The 21,346-nt window shown below is 33.6% G+C and overlaps 1 long non-coding RNA gene across 4 annotated transcripts in view; it reads left to right on the forward strand.

Moving 5' to 3' along the window:
- The window catches only part of LOC105374140 (uncharacterized), a 266,957-nt gene extending 248,259 nt beyond the window's left edge, over positions 1-18,698 (forward strand). For 3 of the 4 annotated variants that reach the window (XR_001740941.2, XR_924558.4, XR_001740943.3), the window contains 2 exons: positions 1,834-1,996; positions 4,329-6,121. This is a non-coding gene — a long non-coding RNA (uncharacterized LOC105374140). Of the gene's footprint in view, positions 1-1,833; positions 1,997-4,328; positions 15,457-15,836; positions 15,869-17,352 lie in introns of those variants that run through there. The other variant, XR_007096124.1, reaches the window with a different exon arrangement.
- Positions 18,699-21,346: the final 2,648 nt, after the last annotated feature.

Raw genomic sequence — 21,346 nt, forward strand, 5'->3', positions numbered from 1 at the left:
GAGCAGATAAGGAACATGGCTAAGGCAGGTGAGGTTGCCAGCATACATGCTCCTGCACCCACAGCAGGCAATGCTGTTTGAATAGGGCATTTCTTTCCTGCTAATCTCAAGCATGACTCAACAATCCTCCTTGGCTATATACTCGAAATTGCCATTTTTAATCTACCTACAAGTGTTGGCCCATGAGAAGCAACTACTTTACTTTCATGGGGTTAAAGGCTTTTGTGAGTGTATTAGAGAATTAAAAATAACAGTTAATAGTAAATTTATATTGCATGTGTAGTTTGTTTGTGTGCCTCTTTGAAGCAAACTCTATTATTCTTATTCCATTGAACACACTCAGTAACTGTCAATTAATCTCTGTTCTTATAAAGTCTTGCATTATATAGCCTCTTCAGGGATTGTTATAGATGGAGGGAGCCCTGTTGACGACTGGGTAAAGATTTTGGTTTCTACACTCTGTACAGTATATTGCCTTAATAAGGTTTATTTCTGATATATGACATAATGCATGAACTCTCTAGCATTTGTTTGCTTTCTTTGTTTCAGAATGACTTATTTCCAGTCCTCCTATGCTGTGATTATGTTTTAATTCTTCTCCTAAATTCTCCTTTCTTGATTGATTTTAGCATGCATGTATCTAAAGCACAACCATCAGCCTCAGTATCTTACGAAGATTACTCTATGATAGGTGTGGGGAGCTTACGATGTGGGCCTCAGGCAGCATGTGATTTGAGTTGGTCATGGGCATTCACCTGGAGCAGAATTGAGCTCTGGAAAAGTGATTGTGACCAGTAGAAGAGGATGCATGTAGCCTGATCACTTAAGGCACTGATTCTCAACCACGGAGATCCCTTAAAAAACAAATTCTGCTCCAACCCACATCCTGATTTTATGGGTCTTGAATAAGTCAGAGACCAAGGCATGTATTAAAAGCTTCCTAGGCATTTAATATGCATCCAAGGTAGGAAAAAAACACAGTTTTGTAGGGTAAAGTTTTGTTTAAGGGAAAGAGGCATAATAGGTAGCTGAGTGCATTTATCAGGTGTTGTTTTTAAGAGTAGGCTTAGTGGTGGCCCAGAGGACCAGACTAGTCAGCTTTGTCACACAGCCAACAAATGCTCCAGGGTCACTTTGCTTCAAAAGCCCTTTATCAGATTAGCTCTGTTTCTCTACAATGGACAGATAGCTCCCCAGAGCCACTCCAACTTCTTATCATGGCAGAGTCATATTTTCTAGTAAAGGCCATCCTTAAGCTATCTTTTGGTATGGTATTTCCAAGTGTATTACTCTTTTCCCTATCCCTCCCACCAGCTTTTTCATCTTTGGAAACAGAGCCACCTTAATTGTGAGGTATGTGATATTGCTATATTCCTTTAGATCTCTTACATAAACTTAGATGAAACCACAGAACAAAACATCATTTTTTATGGCAGGTGTATTCATAGAAAAGAGGGAAGGAATATGTTTAAACATTTGGATCTACTTTCCCAACACAAATAACAATTTGGATATAGCAGAAAGAGCTGTGAAAAAAAATTAATAAGTATGAACATGGTTGTTGAACTGTCAATTGTTCAATGAAATATTTGTGTTCATATTGAAAACTACCCACACATTTATCTATTCAGATTACTTAGTAAAATTTTATTAAATACTTTCATTTTTTAACCTTTCGGTTGAGGTATATAAGAAGAATTCAATTTACTCTTGCCTTGGAAAATGATAAACCTTATCAAATGTAATATTTTGTTAAGATTTAAAAATTTAGGTTAAGAATTCAAAATAAATTTAGACAATGTATTCATGCTGCAATCTGTTTTCGCCTCACAGGAAATGTCTGCTACAGAGACAAACTGAAGTTTGTGTATATCGTGCTGATTCAGAAGAGAATGAAGGCATTTGTCAAGAGATAATGTCAGACTAATCAGACATGTTCCAATCGATTAATGCATTTGGAGGATTTCCAAATATTTGCTGATCTAAGGACGGTGAGGTGAGGCTAATCCATAATTTGTCAATTCCACTGAAAAACTATCAAAAACACATTTATACATAACTAGGTATGCTTCTTTGCATTAGAAAATAGATCAATAATTAGATCTTAAGACAAAGGTCCCCTTGTGATAATGTAAGAATTTAACTGTGATTTGTTGCTATTGTAACTGGATAATTAATTTTAATTTTCAAAGGCCCGAGCTTGTGAGAAAATGATTTAGAATTGATATCTGACCTCCAGCTATTGAATGAATTATAATTTTGATTATTGAAAATATATTTGTGGAGACTACTAACAGTAGAAGAAATAAAGAGACTCCTAATAAGTATATGAGTTTTAAGTTCAATTTTAGAAGTGCTTTTATGCTCTATTACTATGAGTTAAATTCCATGGTAACTCAGCAAGCAGTATGTTAGTTTAACCATGAAGCACTTATAATAGGCATTGCACATAATTGTCTATTCACCTTTGAAAAGGTGCAGCCTTTTCAAAAACACAGAGGAATTGGGGTATATGTGGAAAAATATAAATTATTAAGGGATTGATTTTAATTGTTTCTTATAAGTAACATCTTAGGCAGGGATATGTGTCTTTGGGGAAACAAATGGTTTTAATGTGACATTTGTATTTGTTACAGATAACTAAATTTCATGACAGGAGAATTATGCCTATAAAATGTGTATTTCCAAAACATGATCAGTTGAGACTGTTGTTTTATTACATTTCTCCTTATGTCTTTTTGGCTGAGGTTATTAATGTTACTACTATTCTCTCAGACACATGGGTTTGAAATGCATTCACCTTTGACTCATCTTTATTTTCTCCTGTTTTTTCTCTCTCCCTTACTGCAAACCATCTACCCAGTATCTATCTATCTAATTCATGGTTCTTTGTATCACATTTATCTTCTCAGAAACCATTAATGCTTCCCCATTGCATACTGAGTTTTAAGTTAAATCTTTTTTTTTGCTATTAATGACAGCAATATTACTAATAAAATTCACATTTTCAAAAATTGTATTATAAAACCAATTGTTTCAATATGTATGTGTTAAGAGAGGGTAAGGAAAGGAGTAAATAATACCAGACCACAATAACCAAATTATATTTTATTCAAAAATTTCTTTGATGAAATTATTATTCAAACTAGGTATGGCAGTATTATATGAAAGCGACAAATAATAAACAAAACCAATAAAAATAAACCAAAACATCCCTGGGAAGATACTGAAGAGCATGTAAGATCAGACAAGAATCAATAAACTTTGTACTGTCAAAATGAATTCTAGTGATGTTTACAACTTCCAGCAGGAAATAGAAGAAAGAACACCAGCTGAGCATCCATTTATTGCAAGCCAAGCAGGTGTGGGTTCCTACTCTGTTTACTCAATAGCATTTTCCCACTGAGCAAGGTGCTTCTTCCCAGTCACAATAACATTATTTCCAACAGCTGCTGGAGTAGTGACACTCTTTCCCCTTAATTATTCAATCATATTCTCTCTAATTCATATCACATAAACTCACACAACAGGAGACATGCCTAAACAAATTCTGTAGGAGGCAGGCTAGGTCCTCACGACATAGCCTTAATCTACTTAACCAGTTCACACTCTCCTATTTCCTCAATATATAGTATGGCATAGTGATTAGGAATATTGGCTTGACAGTCCCTCCACCTCAATTCATAATCCTAACTCTCATACTTGTTAACTGTGTTCTTGAAGGTAAGTTATATGAACACTTTGTACCTTAATGTCTTCATCAATAAAATGGTGATAATTTAATACTGCTACTCCCATAACTTTATTGGAATATTGGACCACAGTCATTAGACCTACCTGTGTATACTATTGGCTGTGCCTGGCACCTAATTCTCAAACATCAAAGAGAGCTATTGTTACCCTCCTGCATCTCAATGGCTATTTCGTAAACATAGGCTCTTTACCTCTGTTATTCCCTCTGATAAACATGCCATTTCATTCTTCTTAGCCTGCTAAAATCTCAACTACTCCTGTGGATCTATTTCCAATATGTATCTTTATAATCCTTTTGATCTGTTCAAATTAATGAAATTTCACTTCCCTTTCTACTTCATGGTGGGCCTCTTTCCTCTGAGACTTGAGTTCAAGAGCATTCAAGTGAATATATATGTGTATATATATGTGTGTGTGTGTGTATGTGTGTGTATATGTATGTATATATATATATATATATATATATATATATATATATATCCCCCTTTTCCAACCTTCCAGCCTATAATAACCAGTTATTAATCTATTGGTTTAAAATGCAGCAAAATTCCATATTCTATTTTTGGATTTTCCAGGTATATGATGGGAAACAAATCTGAGAAAAGAAGGATGGTAGATGCTTTCCCATTGTGACCTGTGATCATTTTGGTAAGAACACTTTACTCAATTAAGAGGCGATCAAGTGATTCCAGGCCTGCTGCTAAATAATTATGAGATGATATTTGGAAATATGTATTTCTCCTTTACCTCCTGAAGCCACAGGTATGTGCCTGAGGTTCTCAACAAATGGCTGATTATCTCTCAGAATATTCAGTTGTCTGGTAGCTGGCACTAATAGCTCAGAATAAGCTATATTTAACTTCAGGATCCATCTGGACTCTTGGCCACTAGTGGTAGGTAATACTAGTTGCCGAATTCAGTTTCTCTGAGCCTGTGAAAACTGCCTGATTTTATTTCAAATTCATTTTGCATCCTGTGGGATGGATTTGAGATCAGGGCAAAATATTCAACCTTATTTTTGTTAATCTTGCCCCAAATATGATCCAGATTAACCTTTCTTAACACAAATTTGCATTTTTTACAAATATCATTTTTAGTGAAATTAAAATCTATGATTATTAACGTTAATATTGTGCAAGTAGCATTTGTAATATAAAGTTTTCAAAAAAGGAAGATAATTTTATTTACTGGAGACTTATTTTGCCATTTTCAACTTGGAAGCCCAGGACTCAAACAAAAGTATTGTTTGAAAACTGTTGGGGTTGATTATTACTTATGCCGGAAGTTTCAAAAAAAATTTTTAGAAAAAAAGAAAGCTGTCTTGTTCTAATAATTTGAAATTTTAACAGTTAAATTATTGCTAAATTTGCATAAGATTTGCTCTGTAAGACAATACTTTTTATAATTGTTAACATGTAGTTGTTTTACTTATTTGTGCATACTAGGTTAATATATACATAGTCATATTAATATATGTTTGTATGTATACATACTTAAATATAAATTTTATTTTTTAAATGCACGATTTAAGATTTTGTCATAAATTGTTATAAATTGTTTTGTGGAGTTTATGCATTTTGTAAATTTGATGGTGGCAGATGGTGTACATGTGAGTTAATTGAATAGATCTTTCATAGTCTGGCACTTTTTATGCTTTTAGAATTTGGAGAAGTTAGTCTTTACTGATGAATAGAGAGCTATCGTACTTTAGAAACTATTGAGCAAACATAAAATTTTAAGAACAACTTATTTTTATCCTATGGATTTTCCTATTATATTTAAACTTGCTCTTTTAGTTTGTTTTTAGAGCTCTCCTCAAGAAACATACTCTTTGTTTTTAACGCTCAATCCTTTTTTATTCTTTGTAGAAACTAGTGGTCTCCTATTAAGTAAATAGATGTGGGTCTCATTAGAGGGATCCATTCTAAAACAGAAGAGGACAACACTCAGGGAGGGCTGCAATGAGACAGAGAATCCTGAGATTGTTCCTCATGTGCAGATCTTCACCTGGGGCTGCAGAAGACTGTACAGCTATAGACAAAATAATGATAAGGTACAGATGTCGTGGAAAGCCAGAACATAGGAGTGAATCCATCCTACAGTCTGAAGGCGGAAACAAAGCCATAAATGGGGTTGGGGGAGAAACCCTGTGGTAAGAATCTGTAGAGATGAGGAAAAAATTGTAGGATTTAAGGTAGGTTAGGAACTGGCAGTTCAGAGCAATGCCAGGGTATTAGAAACTCACTCTCGTGTCATCTAAGTTTCCCAATATAGGATTGAGTGGACCTCATCATATTAGCCACATTCAAGGAATATATGTATGTTATAGAAGTCAATGGTTACATTAAAATATTAAGTTTGAACACAAGTTCTAATTTATTTTTATCATTATTTCTTAATAGCAATTAATTCTTTGGGGCTTCAATTACTGACTGTATTCCAAACGGTTACCAACAGTTCACTTCTTTTATTGCAGAACTTACACCATTTCCAAATAACCAATGTAAATTTTTACCTCGGATATTATTTTGTTACCCGCAAACAACAAATGTGAATTTAGATTTATCATCTTCGTCGGGGACTGAATTTCCCCTGTAATATTGTTTTTTGTTGATTTGTTTGTTTTGTAGTGGCATCCCCTGCCCCTATGTACCTATGTTTGATTTATCTTTTATTTCCTTCTTTTATACTTAAACCTTAAGGTGGATTGGAAAGTTGATATCAGTGACACAAAGTTTAGTTGATTGGGTACTTTACATTTCTACTTGACTTTGTACATTTCTGATTTATATGAACAACAAGCAACTCAGACTAAGCCTCCTTCATTGCCCTAAGAGGTCTACTATATTTCTAGTGATTTTACCTAGGGGATCTATACATGTACTAACAGTAGAAATTAGAGGTGCAACACTACTGGCCAGAATATAGCAACATCCTAAGTACATTAATAATGTGTAAAGTGCCCAGCATGTAAGGCACAAATAAAAATAGGGAATGTCATTTTATTAAATTATCAGAAGTTATGGGTCACATTCAAACAGAAATATTCTAAGAAATTCAATTCTAAGAAATTCAACTTACTTTTAATGTCAATGTTTCTGAAATTGGTAAACATCATTGACGTCAAAAAGCCTTCTATGCATGAAATAAATTATACTTGTCATTTCTGAGCTTATGGTAACATGGTCAAGAATTAAAGGTATATTCATCTGACTTCTGTTTCATCAGGCTGCTATTTGAGAAGGGTTATTTGCCTTAGTACCATCAGCAGTGGTTGAATTTTATATTTGGTTCTGCATTTGTCATTTAAAATGTCCACAAAAAGATAACCCCCTTAAGGAGCATTAGAACTAGAAGTTACTGTGAACCTAGACGATCGCCTGTTTTTTGCCATCTAGCATAATGAAGGTCGTAGTATTGCCAAAGTTTTTCGAATTCACTGTAGTTTTTTCAAAACTAGATAAAAACTCTGACCAATTTTTGAGTCCTGGGGGACTATCACTTCAGCCATAAACACAAACAAGTTAACTAGAATTTAACGAAATAGTAAATGGAGAAAAAAATTCTAGAATTACCTGATTTGTTTCTAAATTATACTGTTGCTCCTAAAAATGTTAAGAAATTAGGGTCGTGAGCACTGTTGGTCACTATGATGATATGCTTACCCACTGATGGTCAAAATTTATCAGAAGAATTTTTAGATTTGGACTATGTCATGGCTTAGATGCTGATACTGATGAATAAAGTGACATGCAATTTTATGGATAAATGAATGTTACTGTTAAGTAGTTTTTAAATATGTACATTTTAATATAATGTATTTCCTCAAAATGCTATTCTCAATTTGATGATATGCCTTGAAAATCAATACTGTTTTAGGAAGAAGGAAATGTGGTAAATTAATGGTGTCATTAGAAGAACGGAGGTTGCCATAGAACCTCATTTGCTTTACTCTTAGGATGTAACTTTTAAATTTATTCTTATTTGAATTTTCTTATCTTCCATACTGAACAGGAAGCTTATTGAATGAACAAACCATGAGTACAATTAGCATATACCTAAATTGATTTGCAGTGAAAAGGTGCTTCATAAATTCTTGTTTGCCTGAAGAAATTAGGAGGCAAAGGAGCATCAAAACAAAAGGGAAAATAAGAATTAAAGTGAGATGCTGTATCAGAGGCCAAGTAAAGATGCTGGTCTGCCTAATCTGACTTTCTGACACTGAGAGGCAAACCTCCAAAATTTCCACCTATCTACATACATTCATTCACTCACTCACCCAGTCTCTATACATTAGGAAGTCATTGCTTTATGTTAACCCTTGGTTTTGAAAAAGAATGCAAAATTAAATGAAGAATAAACTCTGTTTAAAAGGGAGGGTTTGTTTGACAGGCATATGTATAAACACTGGAAATTATGAGAGTACAGAGGGTTTCCAATTTTCCACATACAGAAAGAGTACTAAAAAATGGTGGTGTGTTCAGAGTAATGGCAAACTTAATTTAATTTCATGCCTTCAAGCAATATTACTTTATTTATTGAGAATTTTAACACAAAGCAATCATTTGTATATCACGGATACCCAGAAAGAATAAATATTGTGGTTCTAATTCCTACACTTTGATTTATTAGTCTTTAGTTTATTTGAATGTCATGTCACAGAGTACAGCTAATAAAAGCATGAACATTTGTCTTTGAGCAAGTTTGATCTGAGGTGAGTAACATTAAACAATAGCCTATTGACAAGCAATTAAACACCACTTCTTTTCTTAGGAGTGTTTTGAATTACATTTGTTCTAACTAGTGGCAGCATCTTTTGTGTTTAGAATTCCAATATAATCTTAGATGAGAAGAATCTTTTAATTAGATTTTCAATAGAATCGGCCAAGACCCACTGCTCACCATCTTGACTCTTTGTCTTCATTGATTTGGACCAAAACAAAACAAAGATAAATAGCAAAATTCATTATCAATGTTTATTTCAACTGTCTATTGTCATTTCCTCAGGGTATACAACACAGTTTTCCGCAGACAGAATGCTGTGTTTCTTACTTTTAGCTTTAGAGCTGTATATTCAACAATTCTGTGTCATGGAAGAACCTAGCTGAGGCAAAAAAAAGAAAAAGGTAATTTTCTTCTTCCATTTACACGTAAAATGTTTATTTGAAGAATAAGAAATAAGCAAAGAGACAGGAGAAGGAAATTGTGTTTCTTTCAGCAAGTAAAAAGAAAGGCAAAACCCAAAATAAATAATATGTAATTATTTTTTATCTGACTATTTTTTGGCATTTGTTTCTGCATTTCTAAATAATGGAACTATAATACATTTTCACTATTGGTCAATTTTAGGTATCATTTACTTACTACCTATAATAAAAGTTAAAATTGTAGCTATGAAAGGACCCCTTTAATGCTAAAAATATCACAGGAAATATTTGCATTACCTAAGTCAATACGTAAGTCAGCCAGGAAGAACATTTACAAGACAAAGTTGATCATGATACTCTCTTGTAAGTGAAGATGCTATTATTTTATAACCTAGATGTGAGGATCTGAAAGTTGTTAAATAAAGGCTCCATATGAGCTCTTGTACTCTGTAAAATGTCCTCTTAAGTTAGCTTTAGCTAAACTAACATACTGCCAGGGAACAGTGTTAATGTGTTTAATTACCAAGCTCTTTCCAAGAAAGCCTTGTCACTTGTTCACTGGTCTTATTGCCACTTTCTGTCTTCACTCTACTTCTACCTTTCCACAAACACATCAGTACAGATATTTGCATGTTTTGCACTTCTCCACAGTTTGTACTAGTTTCTAGAAGAAATTTTTTACTGTCAATTAAGGCAATGCTTTATTCACATGTGGCTGCCACTAGAGAAATGTCTTAAATTAACAAAGAAATAAATCCATTAAAAAAAATGTTTCTCTGTTGCCTGTGCCTTTTGTGAAACCCCAATTCACATGCTCACTAACTTTTAAAATCATATAAAATTTTAAGAGCAAAAGAATTTTATTACAGTGTGATGCAGGGTTAACCGTTTTGAAATGATACTTATACTGCCTAAATTATACCTGGTCATCCAAGTAGAAACTAACAATGATTGGGTAATAAACAGATGGAAACCAGGTTGCTAAGGAAAAGGAACAGGAAATGAACTCCCTAATTAGATAACAAAGGTTTTGTCTACATAATGCCAAAATAACTAATTTAATATTTTGAATCAGTTAGATTGGGTTTTATCATGTAAGCAAAACAGAGAACTGATTCCCTGATGCTTTCGTTCTATCTTCAGTTGTTTGTGGCATTATAGAGACAACACTTACGTATGTTTCAAGCTACTTTACCTTTGTATTTCAGGCCACATTTCCTAGGGAGACTGTCTAAGGGAAAATGATTTTCTCTTTAGTTATGAGACAAAGCCTATACCTACAAATTAGTTTGATCACTTTGGTTGAGTTTACTAGTAAAGAGCCCTCCTAAATAGTTTACATGATATGTGTCTACACGTGTGTATCTGATTTGCCAAAATTGAAATATTTTGTACATGGCAAATACGTTCTTTAAATGTGTAAGCAAATAGGTTTATTTTAGTCAACAATTGATGACAGGATAGAAAAATAACCAGAAATGTGGATCCAGCTCTTATCATAGAAAATTTGTACTCCTGTAGATTCCATGACATCCTCACCTCCTGGTTTATCTTTGACCTTTCTTTTGGAATTTCTAAGGGTAGGCATTGAAGTCTTCCATTAGTCCTTGAAAACTCAGTCATTACTCCTTTAAGTATTGTCTCCCCTTTATTATCTCTCTCTCTCTCTCCTTCTGGGACTCCGATTAGTTACATACTAGGCCTCCCGACATGTTCTCCCAGTCTCTTAGCCTCTTTCTCATATTTTCTATCTCCTTATCCCTCTATGCTACATTCTGATTAATTTCCTCAGATGTATCTTCGAGGTAATTAGTTTTTTTTTCATCCATATTGGTTGAATCTACCATTAAATCTATTTATTCAGGATTATTTATAATTTTTAGTTTTTATTTTTATCTAATTAATAAGTGTGAATTAAAAAATCAAATGATTCTACAAACTATGCAATTCTTAGAACCTCTCTCCTTTTATTTCTTCATCCTGAGAAATAATTTTTTTGTTCTTTTATCTGATTATTTTGGCGTTTGTCTCAGCATTTCTAAATAATAGGACTATAATACATTTTTATTATTGGTCAGTTTTAGGTATCATTTACTGACTTCCTATAATAACAGTTAAAATTTAGTTATTAAAGTATCATTTTAATGTGGAAACTCATAAACTTCAGTTGTGGGCACTATTCTGAAATTATTTAAATGATTACTTCCTCTCAATTTTCTCTGTTCTCTCTTTTTAGAACTTCCATCTGGAAGTTATATCTCCAGCATTCATTTTCTAATACTTTTTACACTTATTATTTTTTGCTTTACTTTCTGGAACATTTTCTTGACTCTATCTTTTAGCACTTCTCCAAAGTTTTTCATTACTGCTATTATATTTTTAATTACTGAGATCTTTTTATTCCCTTAAGTATTCCTTTTTATAGCACTGTGTTCTTACTTTATGGTTTGCCATCTTTCCTTTTTTCTTTAAGGATACTAATTGTTGTATTAAAGAGTTTTATTTCCATGTATCCTCTCTACAGCCTGCAAAGCACTTGTTCTTATACGTTTTCTTTCATCTCTATATCTCTTGTTAGAGGTTTCCCCTAGATGTGTGCTCATTTGTTGTTGTCTGCACATGATTAAGAGTAGTGGAATCCTCTGAGGCCTGTTGACAATAAGCCTCATTGTAGGATGATGTGGCTGGAGCTTTCATTTGGCAAACTTCTGATATCAGAATCTTAGGTCTTTCATTTGAGGCTGTCATATTTCCACATTTGTCTGGAGAGTAAAGACCTAATTGACAGCATTCTTAGAGCCAGTTAGGGTAAGAGAGGTAGAGTTTTTGGTGGGGGAGTTAGAAGGGGCTTCTTCACTTTGTTGCTTATTTCCTTTGCTGTGCAGAAGCTTTTTAACTCAATGCGATCCCATTTATCCTTTTTTCTTTGGCTGCCTATGCTTGTGGGTATTGCTCAAGAAATTTTTGCCCAATGTCTTGAATATTTTCTCCATTGTTTTCTTGTAATAATTTCATAGTCTGAGGTCTTAGATTTAAGTCTTTAACTCATTTTTGATTTGACTTTTGTATATGGTAAGAAATAGGGGTCTAGCTTCATTCTTTTAAATGTGGATGTCCCGTTTTCCCAGCACCATTTATTGAAAATACTGTTCTTTCTCCAGTATATGTTCCTGGCAACTTTGTCAGAAAGGAGTTCACTGTAGATGTATGGATTTGTTTCTGGGATCTCTGTTCTATTTCATTGGTCTATGTGTGTATTTTATGCCAGTAACAAGCTGTTTTAGTTATAATAGATAGCTCTGTATTAAAATTTGAAGCCAGGTAATATGATTCCTCCAGTTTTGTTCTTTTTCCAGCTTTGGTTATTCTGAGTCTTTTGTGGCTCCATATAAAATTTAAGATTGTTTATGTCTGTGAAGGATGCCGTTGGTATTTTGACAGGGATTGAATTGAATCTATAGATTGCCTTTAGTAGTACGGACATTTTAACAATATTGAATCTTCCAATTCATGAACATGGAATATCTTTCCAGTTTTTGTGTGTCCTCTTCAGTTTCCTGAATTAATGTTTTATAGTTTTTATTGTAGATATATTTCGCTTCTTGGGTTAGGTTTATTCCTAGGTTTTTTTTCATCTGTAGCTATTGCAAATGAGATTAAATGGCACATATACACTATGGAATACTATGCAGCCATAAAAAAGAATGAGTTCATATCCTTTTCAGGGACATGGATGGAGCTGGAAACCATCATTCTCAGCAAACTAACACAGGAACAGAAAACCAAACATCGCATGTTCTCACTCATGAGAGTTGAACAAGGAGAACACATGGACACAGGGAAGGTAACATCACACACCAGGGCCTGTTGGGGGGTGGGGGCAAGGTGGGGGAAACCATTAGGACAAATACCTAATGCATGTGGGGCTTAAAACCTAGATTACAGGTTGACAGGTGACAGGTTGACAGGTGAAACAAACCACCATGGCACACATATACCTATGTAACAAACCTACACATTCTGCGCATGTATCCCAGAACTTAGAGTAAAGTAAAAAAAAAAAAAAAAAGATTTAAAAATTATCTAGCATTGTAGGTTGCTTTCAAGTCGGAGGATCAATCATGATATCTAACCAGTTAATTATTTTCTTACCTTTGCTGTTTTCTCTTAAAGATATGAGATGTAAAGATGCCAGTTTTCCTTTCTCTTATTGTTTTCTCCCCTTTCCAGGAATATTATCCATATCAATAAGCTTTCCAAGTATATATGTTCATAAGGACTTCCAGTTATGTGTCTGTAGCTCGGATCTTGTAATTCAGCTCCAGTCCATCTCTTCCAGGGTGTCCAGGACATTTTTATTTAGTCCTCTTAATAACATCAAACAGGAGAAGATTTTGTGTTGATGCTATTGTTTATTGTCTTGTATTTATTTTTTATTTTTCCCAGAAAGAGTTCCTCTTTCTGCGTTCCTTGTCTCGGATAATCTACCCAGTTTCAAAAACCAGACTCACTGTAGGCCTAGTGAATTTTACTTTTTCCTTCAATATCCACATTCAATTAATCACTAAATCCTGATGATTCTACCTTCTTATTAGCCCTCCTTTCTTTTGCTTATCTCTCCATTTCTTTAGCCACATTTTGAAAAGCCAATTAAATTTTATTAACTGCCTTTCCTTTTCTTATCTAAATTTTCACCATCTCTTCCTTCATGAAGCTGACAGGTGCAAACTTTATAAAGTACGTACTTAGTATTCTTTTTTTTTAAATTATTAAAGGCTTTCCTGTGGCTTCCAATTACCTTCAAAGAAAACCCTGCCTTTTTTTTTAGAATGGTACTCAAAATACTCTTTAATGTGGCTTTGACATTTTAGTCTCATATTCTTAAAATATAGATGTTCTAAGTTCTAGTGATAGTAAACCATCTACATTTTTTCATATCCGCATCTTTGTTCACACATTTGCATGCTTCTGTATGCCCCCCTACCCATACAACTCTTGGCATTCCTTGACAAGGTTCTTCCTCTTCTTTCTGCTGCTACTGAACTGTGTTATGTTCCTCTATTGATTCAGCTATTGCACTGTAATTGTTTGCTTAAAATTTTTCCTCATCTATTCAAATACAAACTACTTGGACTATACCTTTTTTTTCCTTTATTTTTTTTCTCATGAAGTTCCTGACACATAGCAGGCACTCAATAAATTTTGAATTTATGAATGAATGAATTTATTAGAAAGTTTGGAACAGAACTATGTCTCCAGACTTTTCATTTTGCTTTTAACTGTGTAATGTGAACCAAATTTAATAAAAAAGAATCACTTTTTTATAGAAATGCTTTCCATGTCCTAAAAATTACAAAGCTCTTTTGGAAAGTTCTGATCTCACAATATCATAACCTCATGGCTGGAAGGGAGCCTAGATAGGGCATTTAACCCTCCCTTCTAACCAGACTGGGAGTTACTGCTCAATTTTTCTGACATGTGTTTTTCCAGATTGTATTTGGATAACTTCAGGCATTGTGAAAATGAGGAAACCATGGAGCTTGTTCTTTCTATCTTTGTAAAATGATGACCATGCAAAAGGTCTCTTTTTACACTAAATCTGAATCTCTCTCTACAAGTTTCACACACTGACCTTAGGAAAACCCCAAAGGCAAAACACAACACATTTATGACCTCTTCCATAAAACAATCTTCAAGAATTTGAAGACAGGTTATGTTCCTTACCAAGTCTTCTCTATCTCAGCTTAAAATATACAAAATGCTTTCAATTTCCTTCATAGCATCTCCTTATGCTTTTCCCCACTACCTCTCTTTTTGAATCTACAAGGACACTCTATTAAATGGAACTCAAGCTTCTTGGCTGATTTAAATGGAATTAACTGGATTCTCACATTACTATTTCTAAATTAGGTTTTATTATGATAAAAGCTCATTCTCTCTATATTTATCATTATTGTTATTTTTATCCTATAAAACTAATTACCTTATTATTATATAAATTAAAACAACATAGAGTTGTAAACATAATGTATGTGCTTCATAATTCTAGCTTCTGGGCATTACCATTGTTAATAGTTTTGTATATGATCATATACCACATGACAACAATTTTGTCAAAGAAGGACTGCATATACTATGGTGATCTCATAAGATTATAATGGAGCTGAAAAATTTCCATCACCTAGTGAGGTCGTGGTCATCATAATATTGTAGCGAAATGCATTATTTACATATTTGTGGTGATGCTACTGTAAGCAAACCTACTGTATAGCCAGTTATAAAGTCCTGGCACATGCAATTATGTACATTACATTATACTTGATAATGATAATAAATCACTAAGATAATGGTTTATGTATTTACTATACTATCTGTTATTATTTTAGAGTGCATGCCTACTTATAAAAATGTTAACTGTAAAACATCCTCAGGTAGGTCCTTTTAGGAGGTCTTGTTATCATAGGAGATGACGGTTCCATTTGTGTTATTGCCCCTGAAGACAATCAGGACAAGATGTGGAGGTGGAAGACAGTGATGTTAATGCTCCTGACACCTGGTAGGCTTAGTATAACTTCTATGTGTATGTCTTAGTTCTTAAAAAAATAGTTTAAAAGGCAAAAATAGAATTAAAAAGTATAAAAATAGGAAAAAACTTATAGGATAAGAATATAAAGAAAAAATATTCTTATATAGCTAGCTGTACAATATGTTTGTGTTTTAAGCTATGTGTTATTACAGAAAAGTCAAAAAGTTTGGAAACGTAAAAACTCTATAAAGCAAAAAGTTACAATAAGCCAATATTAATTTATTATTGAAGAAAGACAAACTTTTTAATAAACTTAGTGTATCCTATGTGTACAGTGTTGATTAAGTTTACAGTAGTGTAATGTCCCAGGCTTTTACATTCTCTCACCTCTCAATCATTGGCTCACCCAGGGCAACTTCCAGTCCTGCAAGCTCTGTTCATGGTAAGCATGCTATACAGGTGTATCATTTTTAATCTTTTATCTGGTATTTTACTGTATCTTTTCTATGATTAGATATGTGTAGATACACAGATACTTACCATTGTGTTATAATTGCCTACAGTATTCAGTATAGTAGTATTCTGTACAGGTTTATACCCTAGGAACAGTGGGCTATACTATATAGCCTAGCTGTGCAGTAGGCTGCATTATCTCAGTTTGTGTAAATACACTGCCTGATGTTTGCACAAAGAAAAAATATCCTAATGATGCATTTCTCAGAATATATCCCCATTGTCAAGTCATGCATGACTATATGATTTGTCCAGACACTTCATAGTATATATGTATTTAGTTATGAATACTATATATAGAGTTTGTATTTTACCAAAATATTACAAAAATTGGATCACTCTATAGCATTCTGTAACTTGTTATTTTCACTTAACATTATGTTTAAACTTTTGTTATATATTTTGGTTACCTTTGCATAACAGTATATGTACCACTAGTCAATTCTTTTTAAAAGCTGCATAATATACTACTCTTAAAGTGCATTGTCACTTATTTAGCTAATTTATTGATGCTATTTTCAATTATTAAAATCATAAACAATCCAATAAAAGTTATTGGGCATTTTCAATCTGCACAACATTGTGCCAACCACTGGAGCTAAGATGAATACAATAATCTCTGTCACTAGGGAGTTTCTGATCTACTGGAATAGAGCAATGAATTAATCAATATAATGCAATATAAATGCTGTCTCAGAAATATGCACATAGACACAAAGGACACAGACACTTGGAGAATTCAGGTAAAAGTTGGTATATTTATGTTGCATATTGAAACATTAAGTAAACAGTCACCACGGAGGAAAGCTATTTCAGGTTGCTGGTTTGCATGTTTAAATTCATACTGTTATGCAAAACTACCGTGTCTTTGCAGAACTGCAAGTAGTTCAATGTGTTATCTATGGCAGAATCATGTAGAAGATGACACTGGTGAAGTAGGTGAGGGCTAGCTGATGAGGTGCCTGTTGTGTCTCAGGCCAACAGATACTTTGGTTCTTATAGGCAACAGGGAGCCAGGTTAAATAAGGGAAGAAAACAAGGGAAGGTATAAAATGCAGCATTGCCAGCTGGAAATAACTCTTCTTAAAGAAAATTCTGTAAGCAGTAATGTTTTGCCTGGTTTCCCTTACTTGGGCATAGCAGATGACATCAGTGCCCTGAGTATATCACCTTTGTTATTATTAGTTTAGAGTGTCTGTGTATCAGTTAAAGTGTAGGATCACCTCCTAACTAAATTATTTTTACTTGAATTCTTGCTTCAGTGTCTCTTTCTAAAGGGACCTCAAACTAAGGTACTGGTCAATAAAATCTTGGTCAAAATAGTCTAGGTTATTTGCCAATTTAGTTACCTACTTATTAATTCATAGAAACACCAAACAAAGTATTTTGTTTGTTTGTTTGTTTTTGCTCCAGGCTTGAAAGAAAAGGTCAAGTGTGGTGGCTCATACCTGTAATCCCAACATGTTGGGGGGCAGAGGCGAGAGGACCACTTGAGACCAGGAGTTTGAGACCAGCCTGGGCAACATAGCAAGGACCTGTGCCTACAAAGAAACAAAATAAATAAATGAATAAAAAGACTATTCAAATGATGGATAGTTTGGTTTTAAAATATGAAAAGAACCCATAGAAACTCAAATGAAGAAAGAGAATCTCAGGAAACAAAGTTTAGCTTGGCAATAATTGAACCAAAATCACTGGGGATCCATTCTTTCTCTTTTATTTTGTAGATGAGTTATCTTGCATATATTTCTGCATATTGCTTTACTTTTCTTTGCTGCAGCCTCACTTCCAACATGAAAATCTTAGAATTGGCACCCTTATAATATTGGTTTCCACATAGTATGTGGTTAAAATGTCATGAACTCTGACATTAATTATCTGTTGTATCTCCAGAGACTAAATCAGTTTATTTGATTCTGTTTTTTAAAATTAATTTGTTTGTACAGTTTATGGAGGTATAATTGACATTCTATAAATGGCTAATATCTCATAGTACAATTTGGTAAAACATAATCTATTTGTACCCCAGTAAAACCACCACCATAATGGAGATAATGAATATGTGCATTATCCTCAAAGCTTTCCTCATGCCCTTTTATAACCTCTTGCTTCCAGCTCTCACCTCTCTGGATTCGTCTCTGGCAATCTTTATCTGCTCTCACGATGCATGACTGAATTTTATATAAGTGAAATCATATGTTTGCCTAATTTCTTTCATTCATTTAACTATTTTAACATTCACCCATATAAATGTGTATATCATTATTTAATGCCTTTTTAACTGCTGAGAAATACTGTATTTTATAGATATACCTCAATTTGTTTATCCATTCACATTTAGGCAATTGGACATTTGGGACATTTAGGTTGTTTCTAGTTTCGAGTCTTTAAAGATGATGTTAATGATGTTACTGTGAGCATTTATGTACAAGTCCATGTATAAACATATGTGTTTTAATTTGATAAACACCTAAAAATGGGATGACAGAGTCAAATGGTAGGCTTATGTTTAACTTCTTAAGAAACTACCACATTTTTGTTCAAAAGCAACTATCAGATTTTACATTCCTGCCTGCAGTAAATGAGAGTTCTAGTTTTTTGATGTTTACAATACTTGGTAAGGTCAGTCTTAAAATTTTAGTCACTCTTACTGGTGTGTGTACTAGTATTTCTGTGTGTTTTTTAACTTGTGATGTTCAGAAACTGTTTCTATGGTGATTTACTATGTGTACATCTTTATTAAAATGGATCTGTTCACAGTCTTGGCCAATTTTTTTAAAATAGGGTTGCTTGTTTTCTTATTAATGAGTTTTGTTTCATTCTATAATGTTTAACATTGAGATATAAGTCACGTGAAATATAATTCACCATTTTGAAGTGTATATGTCAGTGGTTTTTAGTATAACTACACAATATTGTACAACAATTATGACTATTTTATTCCAGAACATTTTCATTAATCCATAAAGAAATCACATACCTATTAACAATCATGCCTAATCTTTTCCTCCACTCGTCTCTGGCAACCCATCAATCTACTCTGTTTCCCTAGATCTGTATATTCTGAAAATTTCATATAAATGAATTCATGCAATAGTGATAATTTCTGATATGGCTTCTTTCCATTTAGCATGTTTTCAAGGTTCATCCAAATTGTGGCATGTGACAGGTTTTTATTACTTTTTATGGCTGAAAAATTTTTCTATAGAGTTTTGAGAATTTTTATATAGCCTGGATACACATTATCAGATTCATTATGTGTAAATATGTTTGTAATTATTCCTGTCTGTTGCTTGTTTTTTAATGTTTCTTACAGTGTCTTTAATTGTTATTATTATTACTATTATTATTATTACTTTGAGATGGAGTCTCACTCTGTCTCCCAGGCTGGAGTGCGGTGGCACAATCTCGACTCACTGCAACCTCCGCCTCCCGGGTTCAAGCAATTCTCCTGCCTCAGCCTCCCGAGTAGCTGGGACTACAGGCATGTGCCACCACGCCCGGCTAATTTTTTTTTTTTTTTTTTTTTTTGAGACGGAGTCTCGCTCTGTCGCCCAGGCCGGACTGCGGACTGCAGTGGCGCAATCTCGGCTCACTGCAAGCTCCGCTTCCCGGGTTCACGCCATTCTCCTGCCTCAGCCTCCCGAGTAGCTGGGACTACAGGCGCCCGCCACCGCGCCCGGCTAATTTTTTGTATTTTTAGTAGAGACGGGGTCTCACCTTGTTAGCCAGGATGGTCTCGATCTCCTGACCTCATGATCCACCCGCCTCGGCCTTCCAAAGTGCTGGGATTACAGGCGTGAGCCACCGCGCCCGGCCTAATTTTTGTATTTTTATTAGAGACAGTGTTTCACCATGTTGGCCAGGCTAGTCTCCAACTCCTGACCTTGAGTGATCTGCTTGCCTCAGCCTCTCAAAATGCTGGGATTACCGGCATGAGCCACTGTGCCCAGCCTAATTGTTAATTTTGATGAGGCTGAATTTATTTTTTATTTTGTGAATTATACTTTTGGTGGAGTATCTACTAACTCTTTGCCCCTAACACAGAGTCACAATCATTTCATTCTATGCTGTCTTCTAGAATTTTTATAATTTCAAGATTTACTTTTAGATCTATAAATCATTTTACATTAATATTTTTATATGTGTGAGGATGGAATAAAGATTTTTTTCTTTTCTGGCTATAAATATTCAACTGTCCTACCCCTGTTTTTTGAAAAGTCTGCTACTTCCTAACTGATATACTTTGACTATATATACGTAAATCTACTGTTTCACTTTCTAATATCTTTTATTGATCCACTTGTCTACCTTACCACTAATACTATACAATCTGGATTATTTACTGTAGCTTTACAATAAGTCTACAAATCAGGTAGAGTAAGTTCCCCGCCACCCCCAAAATTTTTTTTCAAAGATACTTTGGCTATACCATGACCTTTACATTTCCATGTACATTTTAGAATTTGCTTATTTTCTAGAGAAAAGCCCAATAACTTTGAGATTGCGTTAAATCTCTATATTAATTTGAGAAGGACTGATATCTAAGCCCCATTAACCACATATTAATCTAGGAACATTATATAGTTCTTCATTTACTTAGGTCTTCTTTCACTTTAGTAATAGATTTTATGTACAATTTTTACTCATTTTAGTTAGATATATCCATAAATAATTCATTTTCCTTGAAGTTGTTGTAAATACTATTTCAAATTTTAACTTCTGATTGCCATTACTATTAGTAGTATATAGAAATACAAGTAATTTTTGCATATTGATTTTTTTATTCCAGAACCTTGCTTAATTCATTCTTCTAGTCACTTTTTTGAAGATCACATTAGATTTTCTACATATACAACCATGCCATTTGTGAATAGAGTTTACTTTTGGTAGGATTTTAAACTATAAATCCAGTACAAATTACTTAATATAGATAGGCTATTCTACCACTTCCTCATAAGTAAGCTTTGTTATTTTATCTTTCAGGCCATCTGTTTATTCCATATGTTGTCAACTTACTGGCATAGGGTAGTACATCATATTCCCTTATCTTTTTATATGTGTAGCATCTTTGAGGATATAACCTCTCTGATTCCTGATATTGGCAATTTGTGTTTTTTAATCCTCTCTTTTTAAATTTTCAGTTTGGCTAGAGTTTATCAATTTTATATTTTCAAAGAACCATATATGCTTTTATTATTTTCTCCATTATTTTTTCTGTTTTCTATTTCATTTATTTTCACTCAGACTTATTGTTTGCTCTCCTCTGCTTACTTTAGGTTTAATTTTCTCTTATCACTTTTTAGTTTCAGATATAAGATGAGTCATCGATTTGAATCATTTCTTCTCTTTTAATATATATTGCCATAAATATTACTCTAAGAACTATTTAAGATTCATCCCATAA

Source organism: Homo sapiens, chromosome 3 (assembly GCF_000001405.40).
Source record: "Homo sapiens chromosome 3, GRCh38.p14 Primary Assembly".
In the NCBI taxonomy this organism is placed as follows: domain Eukaryota; kingdom Metazoa; phylum Chordata; class Mammalia; order Primates; family Hominidae; genus Homo; species Homo sapiens.